Source organism: Homo sapiens, chromosome 3, assembly GCF_000001405.40.
Source record: "Homo sapiens chromosome 3, GRCh38.p14 Primary Assembly".
Classification (NCBI taxonomy): domain Eukaryota; kingdom Metazoa; phylum Chordata; class Mammalia; order Primates; family Hominidae; genus Homo; species Homo sapiens.
In genome coordinates this window covers 82,397,271-82,419,699 of record NC_000003.12, presented here as the reverse complement: position 1 = coordinate 82,419,699, position 22,429 = coordinate 82,397,271, and the positions used below count along the sequence as shown (strand labels likewise).

The window sequence follows — 22,429 nt, the reverse complement described above, 5'->3', positions numbered from 1 at the left end:
ACTAAAAGTGAGATTGCATATCAAATAACAATAGAAAATAGATTAAAAAATCATATCTCCTGTGTTCAAATGATAAAGATGATGTGCCTTGCTTTGTACCCTCTACCAATAATCTTCAGAAGCAATTTGTGGATAATGCCGTATCAACTCCATGACAGTTGCAATGAGGTTAATGCAAAATTGAAAAAGTGACTTACAACTTTCAGTTAAAAATCTTAGTTAAATATAGAAGCTAACATATATTAACCTAATTTATCTCCGTTTTATTTGATCTGAAAATTTCTATGTATTATAATCAATTTATATGAGAATATGAACTAATAGGAATGAAATTATTATTTAGAGACAAAAATAGTACTGCTTGATTTAGAAGAAATTTTCGCAGTCCTCTGGTTCAAATACGTTTTGAATATTTAAATACTGAACATGTTATCTCCATCATTCAAATGTTTCCAGTATTTGAAAAGTGACCACCTCCTGAAGAGCTGTATTTCCACAATGCTCTGGAGTCATGCTTAGGGCACCAACAAAAGAATGTCACAAAATTCGATAATGAAAAAAGTTTTTGATAATGTTTTCTGAAATAATTTGAAGTGTTGATGTGTCAAAAATAGTATTAACAATAATAGGAACCATAATTTTTCTAGTCTTTTTAATACATCTTTTATGTTTCATTGATGTTATATTTTAAATTAATTATGAGAGATGTGGCTCCATAAAGCGCTTTGAGCCCCCGAGTTCAGTGCGTGGGTTTATTTGCTGCCCCGTAATTTTCCATTCTTCATATTAAATATTTCTGCCTCCTTTAATATTCAGCATACAGCACTACTAAAAGCCCAGACAAGGCACTAGCTACTCTTCCCTGACTATACACCAGTTGATATTTTTGCCTCTTAAACTGTCATGCAACAAAACTGAACATAATTCCCCTTGTGGTCTAACAACAGATTGTGTGAACAGAGTGGAATTATCACTCTCCACCGATTATTACTAATAACGAAGTCTAAGATTATATCATTTTGACAACCAGATCTCACTGCTGTCTCACGTTTATTTCAGTCAGAAAGCCTCTAACTGTACTTATATGTATATATGCTGGCCTCTCACATATTCTGTTGTGCAGATGGAGTTTTTGGACACAAGTTTGATATTAAATTTATTTCTATTAAACTTCCTTTTGTTTGAGTCAATCCTCCAGCCCATCTCTGACATGTTTTTGATTACTGATTCTTCTATTAAACCTACCTTCTATGACTTGGAAACAAAAATCCACTTTATAAACAACCTTTACAAAAAACTATCCACTATTTAATCAATGTGCATTTGGAAATGAATTCCCATAGTTTTAAAATTTGAAGTTCTCTCTCAACTGTTTGTTCCTTATTACTTAGAACCCAAAATTTCCATCTCCATAAGATAGGGGAGAAGTTAAAAAGAGAAGATATATTGCCAATCCTATGGCCATGCCTCTCTGCTAAATAATTTAAGATGTCACAAAAGCCTTTTTAACTGGAAAATAAAAACACTGGAATAAGAAACAAATGAATCAGGTGGAAAACATTACCTTTATAATACAATGAAAATAAACTAGAACAAAAATATAAATTAATTAGTTTTAGCTACATTTGGGGTCAAATAGCTCTTTGTGTATTATCTTACAGATAAAATACCATTTAATGCATTTTTTAAAAAAGCATATATGTTAGTTTTTAAATCGCTTTTGGGTTATAACATTTTTAATGTGAGGATCATAGGTAAGTATACAATAAGGTAGTATATTTCAGTGTCACTACTACTTTTTTTTTTTTTTTTTTTGAGACAGGGTCTCACATTGTAGCCCAGACTGGAGGGCAGTGGCATGATCTCCACTCACTGCAACCTTCGCCTCCCGGGTTCCAGTGGTTCTCCTGCCTCAGCCTCCCAGGTAGCTGGGACTACAGGCATGCACCACCATGACCGGCTAATTTTTGTATTTTTTGTGGTGATGGGGTTTCACCATGTTGGCCAGGCTGGTCTCAAACTCCTGACCTCAAGTGATCTGCCAGCCTCAGCCTCCCGAGACTACTTTTTAATTACACAACTATGGCAGGATTTAGTAGTAGCTTTTCTCTATGTAATTTCTTTACACCTGGATTTTTTGCCTGATCTTACATTTTCTTCCCATACCTGTAGTTCTCGCATCTGTTTGTTTTTTGAAAATTCTATCTCCAGAATTTGGACCTCCTTGTAAAATAATGTTGAATTTTCTTTGCATTAACATCACTTGGATGTTTAATGTGACCTTCTACTGTTAGAATATGTTTCGTATTCAACATAAATCATTGTGATCGTTTCAGTTTCTAGAAATATCCCTTTACTTTTCTTTTCTTTTCTTTATTTTTTTTTTTTTTACAACTGGGTTCCATTTGTTGCTTTAAAAAAAAAAATGCTTGTAATGAATCTAATTTTCCTCCAAGGAAAGAAAATTTTTTCTTGGTACCATTCATTTTGTACAACCAAGGAAGAGTCGCTGTTTTAAGTGACCTCCTGGCATGTTTGCTCAAGGGTCCAGGAAGTGCCTGCTCTCTGTGGACACTGGGGCAAGATGCTCTCTTCTGTGTAGAGCTGCCTGAATTGACTGATGCTAAAGTCAAGCTCTGTTAAACAGAGCACTTCCTTTCTGTGAAAAGATTTCTCTTTCAGATCTCCTGCTTCCTCTTCTGGGGAGGCTCATTCTCTGATCTGCACTTGAATATGTGTTGACCTACAGGTCTCTTAGGTGGATCAACCTCCATTCTCTGTTAGTTTTCTTCCAGTGTGATGTTGCTTTTATCACATTTTCAGGAAAAGGCCAGTTTTTCATCTTCCTTTTCTCTGCTGAATGTGTCAGATCCTAAAAATATTTCCCTGAAGCGTTGTTACTGAGACCTCTGGTGTTACCATCTCATCCTGAATGACCACAGAAAGAAAATGTTTCTTTTTGTCTACAAGAGTTGAATTAAGTTATTTTAAAAGCAACACATGAACTTGCTGGAAAATATTATGTCAACTGAGGTAGAAGTAAAACAGAGAGCATGTCATAAATTTCTATGATCAAGGAGAGTAGCATATGGTCCTATAATTGTAGAGAAACAGCCAGAAATAACATCCTCAGGGCATTTAGAAATATAGCAGCAAGAGGGTGTAGAGCAATGTCATGAGAGATTAAAAATACTGATGATATCTGAGGAGACCTGGCAACAAAATCATCTCTCTCCTTTAGAGCTATTTCCATAAATCATTGGGGAAAAGCCATCGATTGCATTGTATTGTATGAAAGATGTGTTTTTGTTTTATGCTTGTTCAAAGTAAAATATTTTCTTTATGCTATGAAAGCCAATACAAGTAGGTTGACCAAAATTAAATAAAACAACAAAAACCTGTTTGCTCTTTTATTTTCTGACTCATTCCTCAATTCTGCTGCTTAAAGAAGCCTTCTTTCTCTGATGAATCTCTCCCCCTTACTTCCTTCATCCAATCAGTCACAACCATTGCCAATTTAATCTTGAAAATGCTTCTGTTCTGTTCCCACTGGCATTCTTTTAGCAAATTACCAATGAACCTGAAAAGGAGAACAAAGAAGATGCATTTAAATGAATCAATAATAATAGTATCAGAAAAAAATGAGAAAATATGGTACAATCTGCTATTGAAATTAGTTTTTAAAGTGAGTATAGGAATAAGAAAAGGATTTACCCGAAGTTTATATTATACAGGGTTAAGATGCCAGATGACAAAAATAGTAGCTAGATTAAGCCTTCTTTTTTTCTTTTGTCTTCTGTCAGGAAGAATATATTCAGCTGGGAATATTCTTTTAAAAGAGAAGTAACAGCTAACCTATGTGAAAGAGAATGAGTGCACCTAGCTTTCTGAAGGTAACGTTTTTAGTCAAAACACACATTAATGTATGGAATTCATACCTAAGTGATGATTTCTCATTAACTTCTGAGGACACTTAGAAAAAAGCAAAAGGATACTCTCCCTAAATAGCCTATCTCAATGAGTAATACTACCTTCCCACTTCCCACCCAGCCTAAGTCAGCAACCTGAACACCATCTACTCATCTAGTTTCCTCTCCAGACTTAGCCAAAAATGATTTGATAAACTTGCCCTGATGATTCTACTTACCAAACACCTTTTACATAAGTTATTTTGTTTTCTTTCAATAGCAACAAACTTATTACTTAAAGATTACAACAGTGTGATACATTTTTATTTAATAGGTATTTATTATATGTCTACTAACATGCCAGCCACTGATATAGTGCTGTACATACAGAAGAGGAAAAAATACTACAAAGTTCTGCGGTGTTATGGAACTTTTAAATAGTTTCTTCAGCCTTGTGTCTTCCAATATAGCCCCCATACTGCAGTCAAAGTGGTCAATGCCCGAATTAGAGCAATGTAGTAGGTTACCCAAGACCATCTAGGAATATGAATACTCAAGATGAAGATTCAAAATCACACTTAAAACTCTACACTCAAAAAAATACAAACAAACAATAAAAACAACTCTAAGTACAAATTTCAGCTCATTTATACCCAATACAGTAAAAATTATGATGATCTTGGTGGAAACTATAATATGTCCCTTGCTAATATCTCCAAATTCATCTTCTGCAAGAATTCTACAAACATCCTATGCTTACATTTTTTTTGAAATATCACAATAAATTCTTCTGACTTTTTATAATCTGCCATATAATTGTCTCTCCTATTATTTCTTGTTAATTCCCAAGACTCTACATAAAGTTATTATTTCTTGATAATTTTTCCCAGTCTACAGCAATTGTTCACTGAGTTAGAATCTCTCCGTATTTGTATAGCTCCATAGACATACATTAATACAAAATATAGTATACCCTATTATAATTTTTATTTGTATAAGCCTGGTCTACAAATGTATAAAGTCTGAATGGTCTGAATGTAGGAATAATGTCCTGTTCACTTGTGTATGCTCATTACCTAAGCCAGTACATAGCATATACTAAGTAGATGTATAATAAATTTTGACTAAATAAATGAGTCAATGGGTATATTCAACCAGTAAACTCTTACTTCATCATTCGTTTATCCTAAAAATTTGACACCTCTTATTAAATCTTCCAAGTTTACTGGGGCCAATTTACTATGATAAATCGTTTACAAATACACTATTTCTCAATGCTTAATTTTAATTTCTAAACACAAAATATCATACTGATTAAATACTTCTTTAGTTCATTTGGTGGTAATAGATACATAGAGTGAAATTATTCACATTAGGAATTAGCAAGATTCTTTAAACCTCTCCAATTTAGTGATGAAATCTCAAAGCCAAAACTTTCTTGTTGCAAATATTAAAAGTTAGTTCTTCTGTCATTAGATGTCACAATTTTAGCATTTACACAACATCTGCCTCAAATTAAAAACTCAAATATATTTTCTTTAAAGTACATGACTGAACCTTGAAGAAACTAAAGAAAATCACAAGATACAATGTATTCTTATTCATTACATCTACAATAAAGAACTCAACTTTTTGGTGAAGTCTCTCATACATTTATTCCAGGTTTGGCTATTCAGATTTTTGCCTTACATTTTCCAAATTATATTTAAAAGTTCCAGATAAAAATGCATTTTAAGACTTCCCAATAAAGCATTATACATCTCATTTGAAAATATCTTCATCAAATACTGTAAATATTGTACTGTGTTAAGAAAGTAGTTTCTGTTTTAACAATTTCAGTTCCTAAGTGTTGCCAGGGAAGTTTATCTAAAAACTAACAGTTATATAATTAATCAGTATTGAAACTTTACTTATTCTGTATCTAGACTGAAAGAGGAGGTATGCAAATTAAAGCACTTTTCTTTGGGAAAAAATATCTATGGAAAATAATACAAATATAATCTTAAAAGAAAACTAAGCTCCAGCATCAGCATAAATAGATATGGTTTTCTTGCTTTTAATGAATGAAAGAAAACATTCATATTGGAGATGCCTGAATTTGGTAGATAATTTATTTTAATAAGATTTAGCAAACACAAACACACACACACACACACAAGTTCCTGATGCCATTTTTAAATTCAGGTTGTTTTTAAAACACGAGTAAACTAAATATACAATGAAGCATATTGCTACCTGACATTTTGGTTCAATAATATTCAGGGGATTTGCCTGAGTTATAGATAATCATAGAGAGCATTAATTTTCAATTATTAAGTTATGAAGTGACAGCATACAATATAGAAACTAACTCCACTCTTTTAGAAGGCGAGGCTGTTCCATTTTAGAAGCATATTAATTTGAACAATCCACAAGGGGCCCAGGTCACCACTGTGAAATGTAATCAGTGCAGTTAAAATAGGATAGCTTGCTCCATTGTAACCTCCCTTCACTTCTTCCTAATAATTACCTGAGGTATTTTGGGGTTGGTACTACATATGGAACTATTTCCTTACCAATTTTTTGTTCTATGTTATATGCTAAAAATCCCGTGGAAATCACAGCAGAAATTTAAATGTAACAGCTACGGAGGGGGAAACATTTATTTTCTTAATTCATAAATAAAAGAAGTGTGTGTTTGTGAGTGTGGGTGAGAGAGGGACAGACAGAGATAAAGAGAGAGAGAGAAAGAAAGAGAGAGAGAGAGAGAGACTTGGTAATATTATGACCATATCCAGAACACTGAATGTTCTCCTTCCCATGAGCAAGGGTGATAGAAGCAGCTAGCAAACAATATTTCATCTTAAGAAACATACAATTTATGTTTTCACTCCCTCCGTTGACTTCTATTTTCTCAGGTCAGGAAAATTTTTCTGATTTTTGTTTAAGTTGAAGGAATATTGTAATGCTGAGTGTAAAAAGCCTCTAAAACTTCAGAGTCAAGCTTTACATTCTGAAGATTGAAATATATTATGTTTGTCTTATAACACAGAGAAAAATAGGATTCTCCAGTCACAATAATAGTTTTCATTGCTACAGTTAAATATTAGGTCTTGCATCTGCCATTTTTCTGATTCCCAGCTTTGTCGCTGTTGTTTTATTTGTAAAATCATTTCATTGCGTTTCACAACACAATTAAAAGAGAAAATCTAGCAACCAAAATCAAGTCTTTACTTTTGGAAGTTTCAATCTCAAGATAATGAAACTGTCTTTGCTCAAATTTTTTCTGTAAAAAAATTCATAATTGCCCTTCTTTACATTTTGAGGTCCACGGAAATTTGTATTAACAAAAGACACAATCGTCCAGGCATGGTGGCTCATGTCTATAATCCCAACACTTTGAGAGGCCAAGGCGGGAGGATCACTTGAGTCCAGATGTTTGAGACCACCATGGGCAACATAGCAAGACCCCATTTCAACAGAAAATTAAAAATTTTTAAAAATGTAGCAGAGTATGGTGATGCATGGCTGAGTCCTAGCTACTCTGGAGGCTGAGATGGTAGAATCACTTGAGCTTGGATGTTTGAAGCTTTAGTAAGTTGTGATAGCACCACTGCACTCTAGCCTGGGTGACCAAGTGAGCAAAAACAAAAACAAATGACACAGAATTGAGAATTGTACAGATTCATATGGACTCAGAATAAACTGAGTAAATTAAACAAACACTGTAGTAAAATTTGGTAAATTTGGTAAATTATGGCAAATGTAACCCATAGATCTCTCATTATTGAGTTGAGTGGTCAAGTGTGTGTGTGTGTTTGTGTGTGTGTGTGTTTCTTACTGTGTTATTTAACAATTATACCCTATTATTTTGAGACAGCTCTGTTTGATATTAGCAAAGAAGATCTGTGTTTTATATCAATGTTTAGCTTGATAGTTTCATTTCTCAAAATGAGAGGGGGGAAATAAAGAATATACAGAAATTGATTTCCAGCCTGGATGCTGCATTTCTCTTTGCTATCTGATTGCATATTAAAGGTTCTGCAGAAAGGGAAAAAGAGAATAAAGAGAGGAAAATATTCAAAAGAAGAAATCATGAAAAGAATGATACTTGAGACCTTGAGAAAACTTTCAATGTCAAAAACAAAAAATTTTCATTCAGAAAATGGGAAAATCAAGTTTAACTTATTAAAAGATTATGTTGCAGATTTAAGTAATTAGTAGAAAATGCACAAAAAAGAAAATGGCAAATATCCTTTCTCTCTGACATCATAACTTTAGTACAGTTAATTTTTTCCGAAAGCCAAAGTAATAATGATACGATATTTACCAGATTAGTATTAGACTGGCAAAATTTGATGAAAAAAATCTATAAAATTTGTCAAAAAAGCCACCAATATTTTAGATTTTAAAGCATACGTTTTCTTCTTACTATCTCACTACTCTTCTGTGTCTCTTTCGAACTCCTTTTCCTCCATTATTTTTCCTTTGAACTTCTCCAATGTTATCCTGATGGCTTACTTCACTTGTATAATCTCCACTTAACCTTTTCTATTGCACATCCGAAATGAAATCAACAACAGTCAATTTGTCCAAGAGAACAAAGGGAAGATGGAGCAGAAAACATGCCAAGGAAATGTGTGTTAAGAATATGGTAATTGAACAGATGTTAAACTACATCAGAAAAGATCAAAATGTATTAATAAATCAACCAAACAGAAATCATACAGACAGAAAGCAAAAAGGTGTTGTTTCAGCTGGGTAAACACGTCTTTTTTCTTATCATTCCTACTATTAAACATATGCAGCTCCTTAAAATGTTTTATGAATTTCCTAAGTGATATATTCAAACTACAACCTGAGTCTCTGCTAACATCTAAAGTGCTAATTAAATGCTAAAGAAAAAAATTATCTCCCAAGCCTATACAGTCAGTGATTTTGATCAACAGACATTATGCCAATTGTTAATATATTCAAATTTTTTTCATACTGGTTGATTTGCATAGTATTGGCCAAAACGCGCAGTTAATAGGCCCTTGCTGAGATGCTGCCAGTGGTTGTTAAGTGCATTAGGGTGACAGGGGCATGAGTGAATACATGTTTTATGTTCCCCACTACTCCAAAGAAGCTCAAATCCACTGGGGGCAGTGGAGCAGGTGAAAAAACATACAGCTTTTTCAGAGGCATTATCAATAGTGGCCCAGGTCTCTCTGGGATGAGTCATTGCAGTAGGTACTGACACAAAGTATGTACCATCCAGGACAGGTGGCAGGGCACCTGGCTGCCCTCTGGCTGCAACAATGTGCCAGGTGCTGGGAAAATCAGAGGGTAAATGTTCTGGAATTCCTTTTCTCAGATTATGTATCAGATAAGGGCAGGTTTTACCTAGTGATGTTCTTTCAAACAATTTTGAAAAATCAAGAAATGATTTGAAAATTATTAGAAGGATTTGATTAATAATTTGCACTACAATATATACTTTTGGTAATCGAATTTATGATATATGAAGTCCGGTTTTTAAAGAGTGCTGTAAAATACGGAAGGCGAGAATCACATGTGGCTATTTAAATATTAATTTAAATGAATTAAGGTTAAATAAAATTAAAATTCAGTCCTCAGTCACACTAGCTACATTTCAAGTGTTCAATAGCCACATGTGGTTCGTGGCTACTATATTGTTCTGTGAAGAAACATCTCCATCATTGTAAACAGCTCTTTCAGCACAGATTTAAGGATTAAAATGGAATATATTATTATTTGTATGTAATAAATTATATATTAATTTATATTATTATCCTGATTGTGAATATTTTAATATATATTTGGCATATAATTAGCAAATCATTGCTAGGCAAGGGTGCCACTTCATTGTGAAGAAATTGATTTTTAAAAAAAAAACTAAGCATTTTCAGAAGTTCTTTTGTTAGGCCATATAAATGTATCTATAGAATATCTACACTCATTAACAGTGCTCAGTGTCTATCTTGAAACACATGGGAAATATTACCACCTTTCTCTCTTTGAAAAAAAGTCCTCAGCACCTCAAAAGCTTTATTTTTTTCACTGTTCATATTATGGCCTCTGCGTTTAAAAAGCTCTTGGCCTTTGCAGTGGTCTGAATTATTAAAAAAAAAAAAACAAAACTTTACAGTTTTTCCACTTGATAAAGCCAGTTAAAGTAGAATATTTCAGCCCACATCCAAAGGCTCCATAGCTATATTACAGAGAATTACAGTATCTGAGATTTTTTTGTTCTAATTTATTGCTACAGATTTGTTTTCTGGTTTCCATTTACATGAATAGCAATATACAAGTACCACTATTTGAAAATTATTATTGTCTTGCATAGATGTTAACAAGTGACATTATTTCCTAAAGAGTAGACACTATTTTTTTCTGATGTTTTCACAATAATCTATTATATCTCAGAGTAAACACAATTATTATCCAGACATTCAGACGTCTATATCCATGACAATTGTTAAAAAAGACAGGCCTTAAGGAGATTACTTAGAGAGTTTAGTATTTCCCCATTCAGTTCCAGGAAGTGGAGAGTACACACAGAAGCCTGTTTTTTTGTTTTTTGTTTTCTGTTTTTGTTTTCTTTTGTGTTGTTTTGTTTTACTTCTGCCAAAGAAAGCTAAAGACGTGAAGTTGTGCTGCTAGCTCCATGCTGAGGAATAAGTCCTGGAGAGGCAGCACATGGGGATAGGTCTGCACCCCATGACTTCATGTGTCAATCAATTCATGAGTGTTCACCAATTGGAGCTAAGCTACACACAATGCCCAGCCACGGGTTCATCTTAGGAACTGTATAATAGGACCAAGCATAGTAGTTATTCAACAGTCAAAAGCTAACATCAATATCAACATTTCTAGGCATCGTTGAAGAAGTAAAACTACCAGTTAATTTAGAGGAACACTTTGTAGATGTAATTAAGAAATCCTCAGTAGGGATGTAGCTATGAAGAATGCCCCTTACCCCTACAAACACAAAAAAGTGTCATTTAGGATAAATTCAGTTTTAAATATCTACCAGACCCAGCAACTATGAAACCATCTGGTAAAGTAAACAAATATGCCATTTTTCTTACTTTTCTTCTGATTCCTAGCTCCTACTCTAAAGAAATAGGAAAGTGTTTATATAAATTTCAGAAAAGGTGAGGAGCATAGAAAGAAACAGGCAACTGTTTTCTTTCCTAGACACCACGGGGCTGCGCATAGCCTTTTCTACATGAGAGGAGAAGGAATAGCTATAACTCTAAGTAAAGCTAGAAACATTACAGGAAACTGAATATTCTAAGAAGGCAGTTGAAATTGTCACTTATAATTTCAAGTTTCTTTTCATTTTTATTAAACAATATGTTTTTTGCTTAAAGATAATAGGAAAAAAACATACAAAATTCATGAGTTTTTACCCAGGGATAATGGGTAAATATCCCACAGTAAATATATTTTAAAGAAACATTGGAAAACAAAGTAGAATTGCTTTTTGATTGAATTTTATGAGACATATTTGTTCCAAATATAAGTTACAATAGGGTTGAATGAAAGATAGAAGGTGGCCTTTCTGATGTGTAGTATTCTATATTTCAATATTGTCAACATCTAAAACAATGCTAGGTTATAACAATGATAATAAAGAAAACATAGAAATCATTCCTATCCTCTAAGAGCTTATTAACTGTTTTGTTTTGGTTTCACTGGCGTGTGAACCAACCCCTTTCACATTCTACTGCCAAGCAAATTCTCATTGTTTGGAAACAATCCTACTCTCCATGAATATTTTGATTGATCAGGAATGAGTGATTAAATGGAAAGCAGGATTTGGAAGTTAGAGATTGTGCATTACTCGGAGACATTTGCTATTTGCTTATGTTTGTAGGAGCACCTACCCTATCATGCTCAGAGATAATTTGTTTACATTCCAGAGCAAAATGTCTCCCTCTCACTCCGTCTCTGGGTAGGAGGTGGGGTACCCAATGCAGGTTTTGCATCTGTTTATTTTGTGGTTCTTCCCCTGGGGTGTAATTCCTACAACATATCCTGGTAACCTCTGACTCTTACTGTCTTGTCCCACAGGGAATTGGAGCATGGAGATCTATTGCCGCTAAGATTGCTCTGTGAGTAAACAAAAGGTTGGTTCTTTGATCCAGAGGTCTAGGATTCCTGTGGGGTAGGGATGTGGGGAGTTGAGAGAGAGAAATAGTGGCAAGCTTACTTGTTAGTTTAAAAGTAGGGTAATATCAAAGACCCTTCAACCCTTCTCAGTTTTGTACTTAATGTTTCTACTCTTATATACAGACAAAAAAATTTTTGACACCTAGTCTCACTCTGAGGCCAAGGCTGGAGTGCAGTGGCGTAAACTCAGCTCACTGCAACCTCTGCCTCCTGGGTTCAAGCTATTCTCCTGTCTCAGCCTCTCAAGTAGCTGGGATTACAGGCCTGCACCACTACACCCAGGTAATTTTTGTATTTTTAGTAGATAAGGTGTTTTGCCCAGGCTGATCTCGAACTCCTGGGCTCAAGTGATTCACCCACCTTGGCCTCCCAAGGTGCTGGGATTACAAGCATGGGACACCACATCAGGTCTCTAATTAATATTTTTAACAATGTCTTTGTCAGTTTTCTAGATAAACTCAAAGAAGAGCTAAGTACTTATTTTGATTCTATTATATACCTGAAACCATTATATTCACTCCCTCAATCCTTAAACTACATTTCACTTTCCTATACTTTTCATCAATCTGCCTCCAAGCCATGCTAGTCTCAACACATCGTTTGTGTTCCCCGTACCTACTACTCATAAGAGATGAAATCAGCTCAAAATAATGGTTGCCGTCTTTGAGCAGTCAGAATATAGCCTTGAGAGTTGCATGAGAAAAGAGGAAAGGTAGATATGATTTCGACCCAACAGAGGAGAAGGGTTTAAAGGTTGATTACATGTATTACAATTTAAGTGTTATTTTAAAGACTACCTATCACACCATCTTAGATCCCTTCTGGGTGGGTATCCTAAAGCCACTTGGGATTCACAGACCAGAAAATACTGCATGGCATTTCTTGTGCACAGACAGCAGTGCTTCAGTTTTTACACATTCATGGATTACGTTAGGTGGTCTTGGTCTTCTGTTCTGAAAACATTTGAGCATTATTTAAAGAGAGAGTCTCCGGCACTGCTTTTGATATTTTGCTTCCATTTGCAAAAGCTAGAACATAATGAAAATAAAGCCATTTTCCCCTCCTCTATTCTGCCTTTGCTTTCATGTTTTCCCCAGTTCTATGTCTCTTGCTATGCAGTATAGCTCATAAAATCAGTCAGAGCCAGGGGTCCTAAATGTCACTTGGGTTAGGACTTACTTTTGGGCTACTGTTTTGCCACTGATTATATAAGACAATTCTAACATACTCTGATAACATATAGGATCTTCATAGGAGTCTCTTTTTAAAGCAAACTAGAATGATAGTAATATATTAAAAATTACTTCCTTGAAACACCTAACATCACTAGAGTTGGTGAATTACATAGGTTGCCATCTAGTCTTAACTTTGCTTCCAACAGCTCATAATATGATCTCTGTTAGCAATTTACCTACACTGTGCCACTGTTTGCTCAGGTATCAAATGAGGGCGTTGGATTGAGGTTGCTCGATAGCTTCAGTAAATACAACTGTATTTTCAACTTTTCTTATTAGCCTTTTTAAGAAAAAAAAATGTATCCAAGACTCCCAAGATTATATACTCACAATGTAATTATCATTTTGGTGGTTTTTTCTTTCTCTGAGATCACTCAAGCCATTTCTTTAAAAAGACCTGTGGGGTCTTGGTTGGCTGCTGATGTTCTTATAGAATTTTTTTTTAATCATGCCATAAGGCATAATTTCTTATTTGCTATTTGATATAGTTGGGCTATGTTCCCCCCCAAATCTTATCTTGAATTGTAGTTCTTATAATCCCCATGTGTTGTGGGATGGACCCAGTGGGAGGTAATTGAATCATGGGGGCAGGTACCTCCATGCTATTGTAGTGACAGTGAGTGTGCTATCACAAGATCTGATGGTTCTATAAAGGACTTTTCCCCTGCTTGGATCTGCACTTCTCCTTGCTGCTGCCATGTGAAGAAGGACGTGTTTGCTTCCCCTTCCACAATGATTGTAAGTTTCTTGAGGCCTCCCTAGTCATGCTGAACTGTGAGTCAATTAAAACTCTTTCCTTTATAAATTACCCAGTCTCAGGTATTTCTTCATAGCAGCATAAGAATGGACTATGCTGCTATTTAAAGGGACTCAGCAGTAAAAAATATAATCCAGATCTAAGAGCACTAAGCATAATTCCCTCAGGGAACAATTGCACAGCAGCCCTCCATCTTGGTCTTGCATTTTAATGTTATTCTGTTTTTATTATTTTTTAATTCTACATTCTCTGAACTATTTTTCCTACAATTGCAAAGATTACAGTGTCCAGTGAATGGATACTATCCCACATTATTTGTGGAGCAAAATATTGCTTTCTATACTTCTCATTTAGGGAGATCAGAAGCTACAAAATAATTTGACAAGGAGTAAATGCCAGATGTGATCTTTCCTAATCGATTAATAGACACACACCTGCTTCTCTTAAGCCACAAGAAGTATTAATGTAGACTTACCAGATGCTTATAGTGGATGAAGGTTAGTGAAGCAGCAAAGCAAAAGGTTCCATAAGCTGATTCCTCCCTAGGTAACAGCTAAAGATATTTTTGCCTCAGGACTTTCATAGGAAGAAAAAATGCCATGAAGGAAAAAGAATTTGAGAAATTAGAAGAAAAAAAATATAAAAAAAAGAAAAAAGGTAGGAACCTGTTTGTGATGAACATGAGCTGTATATAGAGAGTTATTCTTTTTTTAAAATAATAATATTTTCCTCTCTAAATAGAAAAGATCTTTCCATAATTCCTAGGCATTAATGGTATAGTCCAGAATATGTCTACTCCTATGACTTTCCTTGTGATCTTGGCAATTAGGATTGTTCCAACACAGTCTTTTGTGCATATGGCTTTTCCACACTTAAAATATGGCAGGTCACGTCTGTAATGCCTGGCTCTTTCCACCTTGTAAGTCTGAATTACAGTATAAGTTTAAGTCTAGGGCCAAGTTGAGAAGCTACGACAAGCAGTCTATGTTGTTCCAGGAAAATAAGTAATTAAAAAATATTGTTCTCTTATGAGAATATAGTTCTGTCTTTAACATCTTTCATTATATTACTATGATTCTCAATAAAGAGGCTGATGTCTTGAAAATCACTGCTCTCTAAAACGAAGGAGCCTCAGAGCAGTCACTGTTATCTTTGTACTAAGATGGGCATTAATTTTTCTTTGAATAGGTTTTTGGGCAAATAAGCAACTGGGATAATAATGTATAGGCATTTGAATATTTCCAGGTGAACTAACAAGTAAGTTATTCCCTTACATTTCTTTTAAGTTCAAAATAATGTAAACATGGGTCATTAAGCAATACAAACCTAACGTCTGGTTTTACACTTTAGTTACAAATATATAGCTCAGGAAATTTTACAGAATATTGATAAATAACTGATATATAAAAATCAATAAATGCAAAACTGTTTATTTGGTAACAGTTAATACAAGTGAGTTTGAAATATGTTTTCTGTATAAGTACGGTGAAGATATTTACCCAGCATTGTCAATAGAAAAATTCATATGACTTAATATTTTGCGATTCAGTGCCCTACTTACATAATTTCTACATAATATATATTTTAAATGTATATTTTTAAGATAAGAATGGCCTACAAATTTTACATTTAGAAACATATTTACACTGTCTTTTGCTATTCAGTTCCTGTCTGTTCCCTAAGTTTTTATCAGGTAATTATATAGGAGAAAATATTATTTTCCAGTTGAATTCTTTAATGAATACACTACACATGGCATATTACCTACCTGTATCAGTTCTTTTTCACACTGCTATAAAGAACTTCCATGAGGCTGGGTAATTTATAAAGGAAAAAGATTTAATTGACTCACAGTTCTGCATGACTGGGGGGACCTCAGGAAACTTACAATTATGATGAAAGGGGAAGCAGGCGCCTTCTTCACAAAGCAGCAGGAGAGAGAGACAGCAAGAGTGGAACTACCAAACACTTAAAAACCATCAGATCTCATGAGAACTCACTCACTACCACAAGAAGAGCATGGAGGAAACTGCCACCATAATCCAATCACCTGCCACTTGGTCCCACCCTTAAAACCTAGGGATTACAATTCGAGATGAGATTTGTGTGGGGACACAGAGCCAAACCGTGTCACTACCTCACTTTTATTTGAATATTTATTTATTTATTTATTTTATTATTATTATACTTTAAGTTTTAGGGTACATGTGCACAACGTGCAGGTTTGCTACATATGTATACATGTGCCATGTTGATGGGCTGCACCCATTAACTCGTCATTTAGCATTAGGTATATCTCCTAATACTATCCCTCCCCTCTCCCCCTACCCCACAACAGGACCTGGTGTGTGATGTTCCCCTTCCTGTGTCCATGTGTTCTCATTGCTCAATCCCCACCTATGAGTGAGAACATGCAGTGTTTGGTTTTTTGTCCTTGCGATAGTTTGCTGAGAATAATGGTTTCCAGTTTCATCCATGTCCCTACAAAGGACATGAACTCATCATTTTTTATGGCTGCATAGTATTCCATGGTGTATATGTGCCACATTTTCTTAATCCAGTCTATCTTTGTTGGACATTTAGGTTGGTTCCAAGTCTTTGCTATTGTGAATAGTGCCGCAATAAACATACGTGTGCATGTGTCTTTATAGCAGCATGATTTACAGTCCTTCGGGTTTATACCCAGTAATGGGATGGCTGGGTCAAACGGTATTTCTAGTTCTAGATCCCTGAGGAATCGCCACACTGACTTCCACAATGGGTGAACTAGTTTACAGTCCCACCAACAGTGTAAAAGTGTTCCTATTTCTCCACATCCTCTCCAGCACCTGTTGTTTCCTGACTTTTTAATGATTGCCATTCTAACTGGTGTAAGATGGCATCTCATTTTGGCTTTGATTTGCATTTCTCTAATGGCCAGTGATGATGAGCATTTTTTCATGTGCTTTTTGGCTGCATAAATGTCTTCTTTTGAGAAGTGTCTGTTCATAGCCTTTGCCCACTTTTTGATGGGGTGGTTTGTTTTTTTCTTGTAAATTTGTTTGAGTTCATTGTAGATTCTGGATATTAGCCCTTTGTCAGATGAGTAGGTTGCAAAAATTTTCTCCCATTCTGTAGGTTGCCTGTTCACTCTGATGGTAGTTTCTTTTGCTGTGCAGAAGCTCTTCAGTTTAATTAGATCCCATTTGTCAATTTTGGCTTTTGTTGTCATTGCTTTTGATGTTTTAGACATGAAGTCCTTGCCCATGTCTATGTCCTGAATAGTATTGCCTAGCTTTTCTTCTAGGGTTTTTATGGTTTTAGGTCTAACATGTAAGTCTTTAATCCATCTTGAATTAATTTTTGTATAAGGTGTAAGGAAGGGATCCAGTTTCAGCTTTCTACATATGACTAGCCAGTTTTCCCAGCACCATTTATTAAATAGGGAATCCTTTCCCCATTGCTTGTTTTTCTCAGGTTTGTCAAATATCAGATAGTTGTAGATATGCGGCATTATTTCTGAGGGCTCTGTTCTGTTCCATTGGTCTATATCTCTGTTTTGGTACCAGTACCATGCTGTTTTGGTTACTGTAGCCTTGTAGTATAGTTTGAAGTCAGGTAGTGTGATGCCTCCAGCTTTGTTCTTTTGGCTTAGGATTGAATTGGCGATGCGGGCTCTTTTTTGGTTCCATATGAACTTTAAAGTAGTTTTTTCCAATTCTGTGAAGAAAGTCATTGGTAGCTTGATGGGGATGGCATTGAATCTATAAATTACCTGGGGAAGTATGGCCGTTTTCACGATATTGATTCTTCCTACCCATGAGCATGGAATGTTCTTCCATTTGTTTGTATCCTCTTTTATTTCCTTGAGCAGTGGTTTGTAGTTCTCCTTGAAGAGGTCCTTCACATCCCTTGTAAGTTGGATTCCTAGGTATTTTATTCTCTTTGAAACAATTATGAATGGGAGTTCACTCATGATTTGGCTCTCTGTTTGTCTGTTATAGGTGTATAAGAATGCTTGTGATTTTTGCACATTGATTTTGTATCCTGAGACTTTGCTGAAGTTGCCTATCAGCTTAAGGAGATTTGGGGCTGAGGCGATGGGGTTTTCTAGATATACAATCATGTCATCTGCAAACAGGGACAATTTGACTTCCTCTTTTCCTAATTCAATACCCTTTATTTGTTTCTCCTGCCTGATTGCCCTGGCCAGAACTTCCAACACTATGTTGAATAGGAGTGGTGAGAGAGGGCATCCCTGTCTTGTGCCTGTTTTCAAAGGGAATGCTTCCAGTTTTTGCCCATTTAGTATGATATTGGCTGTGGGTTTGTCATAGATAGCTCTTATTATTTTGAGATACGTCCCATCAATATCTAATTTATTGAGAGTTTTTAGCATGAAGAGTTGTTGAATTTTGTCAAAGGCCTTTTCTGCATCTATTGAGATAATCATGTGGTTTTTGTCTTTGGTTCTGTTTATAAGCTGGATTACACTTATTGATTTGCATACATTGAACCAGCCTTGCATCCCAGGGATGAAGCCCACATGATCATGGTGGATAAGCTTTTTGACGTGCTGCTGGATTTGATTTGCCAGTATTTTACTGAGGATTTTTGCATCAATGTTCATCAAGGATATTGGTCTAAAATTCTCTTTTTTGGTTGTGTCTCTGCCAGGCTTTGGTATCAGGATGATGCTGGCCTCATAAAATGAGTTAGGGACGATTCTCTCTTTTTCTATTGATTGGAACAGTTTCAGAAGGAATGGTACCAGCTCCTCCTTGTACCTCTGGTAGAATTCGGCTGTGAATCCGTCTGGTCCTGGACTTTTTTTGGTTGGTAAGCTATCGATTATTGCCTCAATTTCAGAGCCTGTTATTGGTCTATTCAGAGATTCAACTTCTTCCTGGTTTAGTCTTGGGATGATGTATGTGTTGAGAGATTTGTCCATTTCTTCTAGATTTTCTAGTTTATTTGTGTAGAGGTGTTCATAGTATTCTCTGATGGTAGTTTGTATTTCTCTGGGATCGGTGGTGATATCCCCTTTATCATTTTTTATTGTGTCTATTTGATTCTTCTCTCTTTTCTTCTTTATTAGTCTTGCTAGCAGTCTATCAATTTTGTTGATCTTTTCAAAAAACCAGCTCCTGGATTCATTAATTTTTTGAAGGGTTTTTTGTGTCTCTATTTCCTTCGGTTCTGCTCTGATCTTAGTTATTTCTTGCCTTCTGCTAGCTTTTGAATGTTTTTGCTCTTGCTTTTCTAGTTCTTTTAATTGTGATGTTAGGGTGTCAATTTTAGATCTTTCCTGCTTTCTCTTGTGGGCACTTAGTGCTATAAATTTCCCTCTACACACTGCTTTGAATGTGTCCCAGAGATTCTGGTATGTTATGTCTTTGTTCTCATTGGTTTCAAAGAACATCTTTATTTCTGCCTTCATTTCGTTATGTACCCAGTAGTCATTCAGGAGCAGGTTGTTCAGTTTCCATGTAGTTGAGCGGTTTTGAGTTTCTTAAGCCTGAGTTCTAGTTTGATTGCATTGTGGTCTGAGAGACAGTTTGTTATAATTTCTATTCTTTTACATTTGCTGAGGAGTGCTTTACTTCCAACTACGTGCTCAATTTTGGAATAGGTGTGGTGTGGTGCTGAAAAGAATGTATATTCTGTTGATTTGGGGTGGAGAGTTCTGTAGATGTCTGTTAGGTCTGCTTGGTGCAGAGCTAAGTTCAATTCCTGGGTATCCTTGTTAACTTTCTGTCTCTTTGATCTGTCTAATGTTGACAGTGGGCTGTTAAAGTCTCCCATTATTATTGTGTGGGAGTCGAAGTCTCTTTGTAGGTCTCTAAGGACTTGCTTTATGAATCTGGGTGCTCCTGTATTGGTTGCATTTATTTGAATATTTAAATGAAATGGTTAGTATCTATGCAAATTGGCAAAACACTGCAAATTGTCCAAACGCAGCTTATACATTTTATCCCAGACAGATTGTTAATTGAATAGTAAAATATACAAATAAAACAGAAATCTTATCTGCCAGAAAATTTAGAAAATAACATTTAAGAAGATTTAATTATGCAAAAATTATATTGTTTATGCCTATTAAAATATTAATGATCAGTTTTAAAGTGTGGAGAATTGCTGCTTTTGCATTTGCTATGGTTTGAATGTGTCCCCCAAAGTTCATGTGCGAGAAACTTAGTCCCTAGTGCAACAGTGTTGGGAGGTGGGTCTTAACAAGTGACTGAGTCATGAGGGTTCTGCCTTCTGGAATCAATTAATATTATTTCAGGAGTGGGTTAGTTGTCTGGTGAGTGGGTTTGTTATAAAAGTGAGTTTGGCCCCCTCTTGCTTACTCTTGTTCTCTCTCACTCTCTTGTTCTTCCACCTTCTGCCATGGCATGATGCAGAAATGCCAAATGCCAGCACCCTGCTCTTAGACTTCCAAGCCTCCAGAACTGTGAGCCAAATACATTTCTTTTGTTTATGAATTACCTACTCTGTGGTATGCTGTGATAGCAAAACAAAATGAACAAGACAGCACATTAAAAAATAAATGAAAGGGCTAGTATTACTGGTGGAAACTGAAACGGGATTAAAATTCTTCTTCCCTCTCTGTGAGACAGTTTCTGTTTCTATAAAACGTACATTATATTGGTTGAATGTTAAATCTTTTCCACATGTAGATACCTAGGAATATCTATGCTTAGGATATGCTTGCTTATACTTGATTGAATTATCATTTTAAAGCACATACAGAATATTTTCCTAAGTAGTTAACAAATTTTAAATTATCTTTATTATAATTCATCCTCAGTATAAACAAGTTATTCAAGAACATTTTTCTAACATAATGACTAGGGTGCAATTTAACTTAAGAAGCAATATAGAAAAATATCACACCCAGAATTCCCACACTTTTTGCAGTCTCACAGAACCACGATTAAATCCTAGCTTCAAGCCTCAGCTCTCAGTAACAAGAAGATGAAAAGAAAGTGCAAAAGTAAAATGCTAAGCATGACAAGTACTATGCAAGTTCTAAAAATTAAAAAAGGGAGCGTTTCCTCTCCCTCTTTTCTTGTTTCTTTCACTTGACATTTTTCCCCCATTTCCACCATCGGCGCACTTTTAGCATTCACCTACATAGGTCACCTACAGTCGTCATCTACAGCTATATTTCCTGAAATAAGAGTTTTGGTTTTCTTTCCTTATTCCTTAAAGTCTCCACTTTAAATCTATTCAAAGAAAAGTTTCTGACCTTATGATATATTCTTCAGTCTGGCCACTATTTCCCATTATCAGCCTGACATGTATTAAAATACTTACTAAATAGTAGACACTGAATATCTTTGAAATGTTGGGGGAATAAATGAAAGAGAGAGAGAAATGTGTGTGTATATGTGTGAGAGAGAGAGGTAAATGAGAGAGAGACAAGAGACAGAGAGAGATCACACAGGTGGAGATCTCTGTAAACTGTTACCTAATGATTTGAGAAATATTTTTTCAAAAATATCAAGACTATGCTGTATGTTTTTTATCCTAGAAGTTCATTTAGCATTTTATCACAATTTTGTTATGTTTTTGAAAGCATATCAATTGGCCTCAAATTAGTGCTAGAATTTAATTTAGTGCCATCATCAACAAATATTCTTTGTGCAATAATTTAATCAACAGATATCTCTTGTGGAATTTCAGCTTTGTGTGCTCGTGTGTATGTGCATGTATGCGCACGTGTGTGTTTTGGCTATTGAAAATAATCTTTCCACAAATATTCTTGCAAATGATGTTTGATTACTTCCCTAGGAGACAGCCATTGAAATAAAATTTCAAGCTGAAAGCCAAGGATATTTCTAAGCTTCTTTATAAATAGTGTCAAATTGCTGTCTATAATTTTTATGCCGATATAAAGTAACTCATAGTTTAGGAAAAACAGGTTTATCATGCCTTCTTCTGCTACATGAATTGTTTTCATTTCTTAATTCAAAGGGAGCATAAAACTTAAGTAGGTCTCCTAGATTTTGGTATTTCTTCTGTTGCCATGTGTTAAAAATATTTTGCCTTTATTTCCATCAGAGAATTTTCCCTTCTTTACTGATACATAAGATCATTTTATTAAAGATAGAACACCTTTGTTCATACAGGCTTCAAATATTTATTTCTAATTTGCTATTTGCATTTTAATTTGAGGCATGTAATATTTGGGCATGTAATATTAAAACATGTAAAAATGTACTTAGCAAATACTTTTCAAGCTTCTATGCCCCTTTTTTTGTGCTTTTGCATTATATTTACTCTTCAATTAGACGTTCTCTAGTAATCTACAGCTAAACAAAAACTCCAAATCACGAACAGCAAATTAAACATGAATGTAGCTCACTCAACAAACATTTAGC

General features: G+C 35.0%; 1 long non-coding RNA gene across 1 annotated transcript in view; it reads right to left on the bottom strand.

Moving 5' to 3' along the window:
- The window catches only part of LINC02008 (long intergenic non-protein coding RNA 2008), a 477,534-nt gene that overhangs the window by 43,976 nt on the left and 411,129 nt on the right, over positions 1-22,429 (bottom strand). The window contains exon 4 of the long non-coding RNA NR_147146.1: positions 3,399-3,580. This is a non-coding gene — a long non-coding RNA (long intergenic non-protein coding RNA 2008). The remainder of the gene's footprint in view (positions 1-3,398; positions 3,581-22,429) is intronic.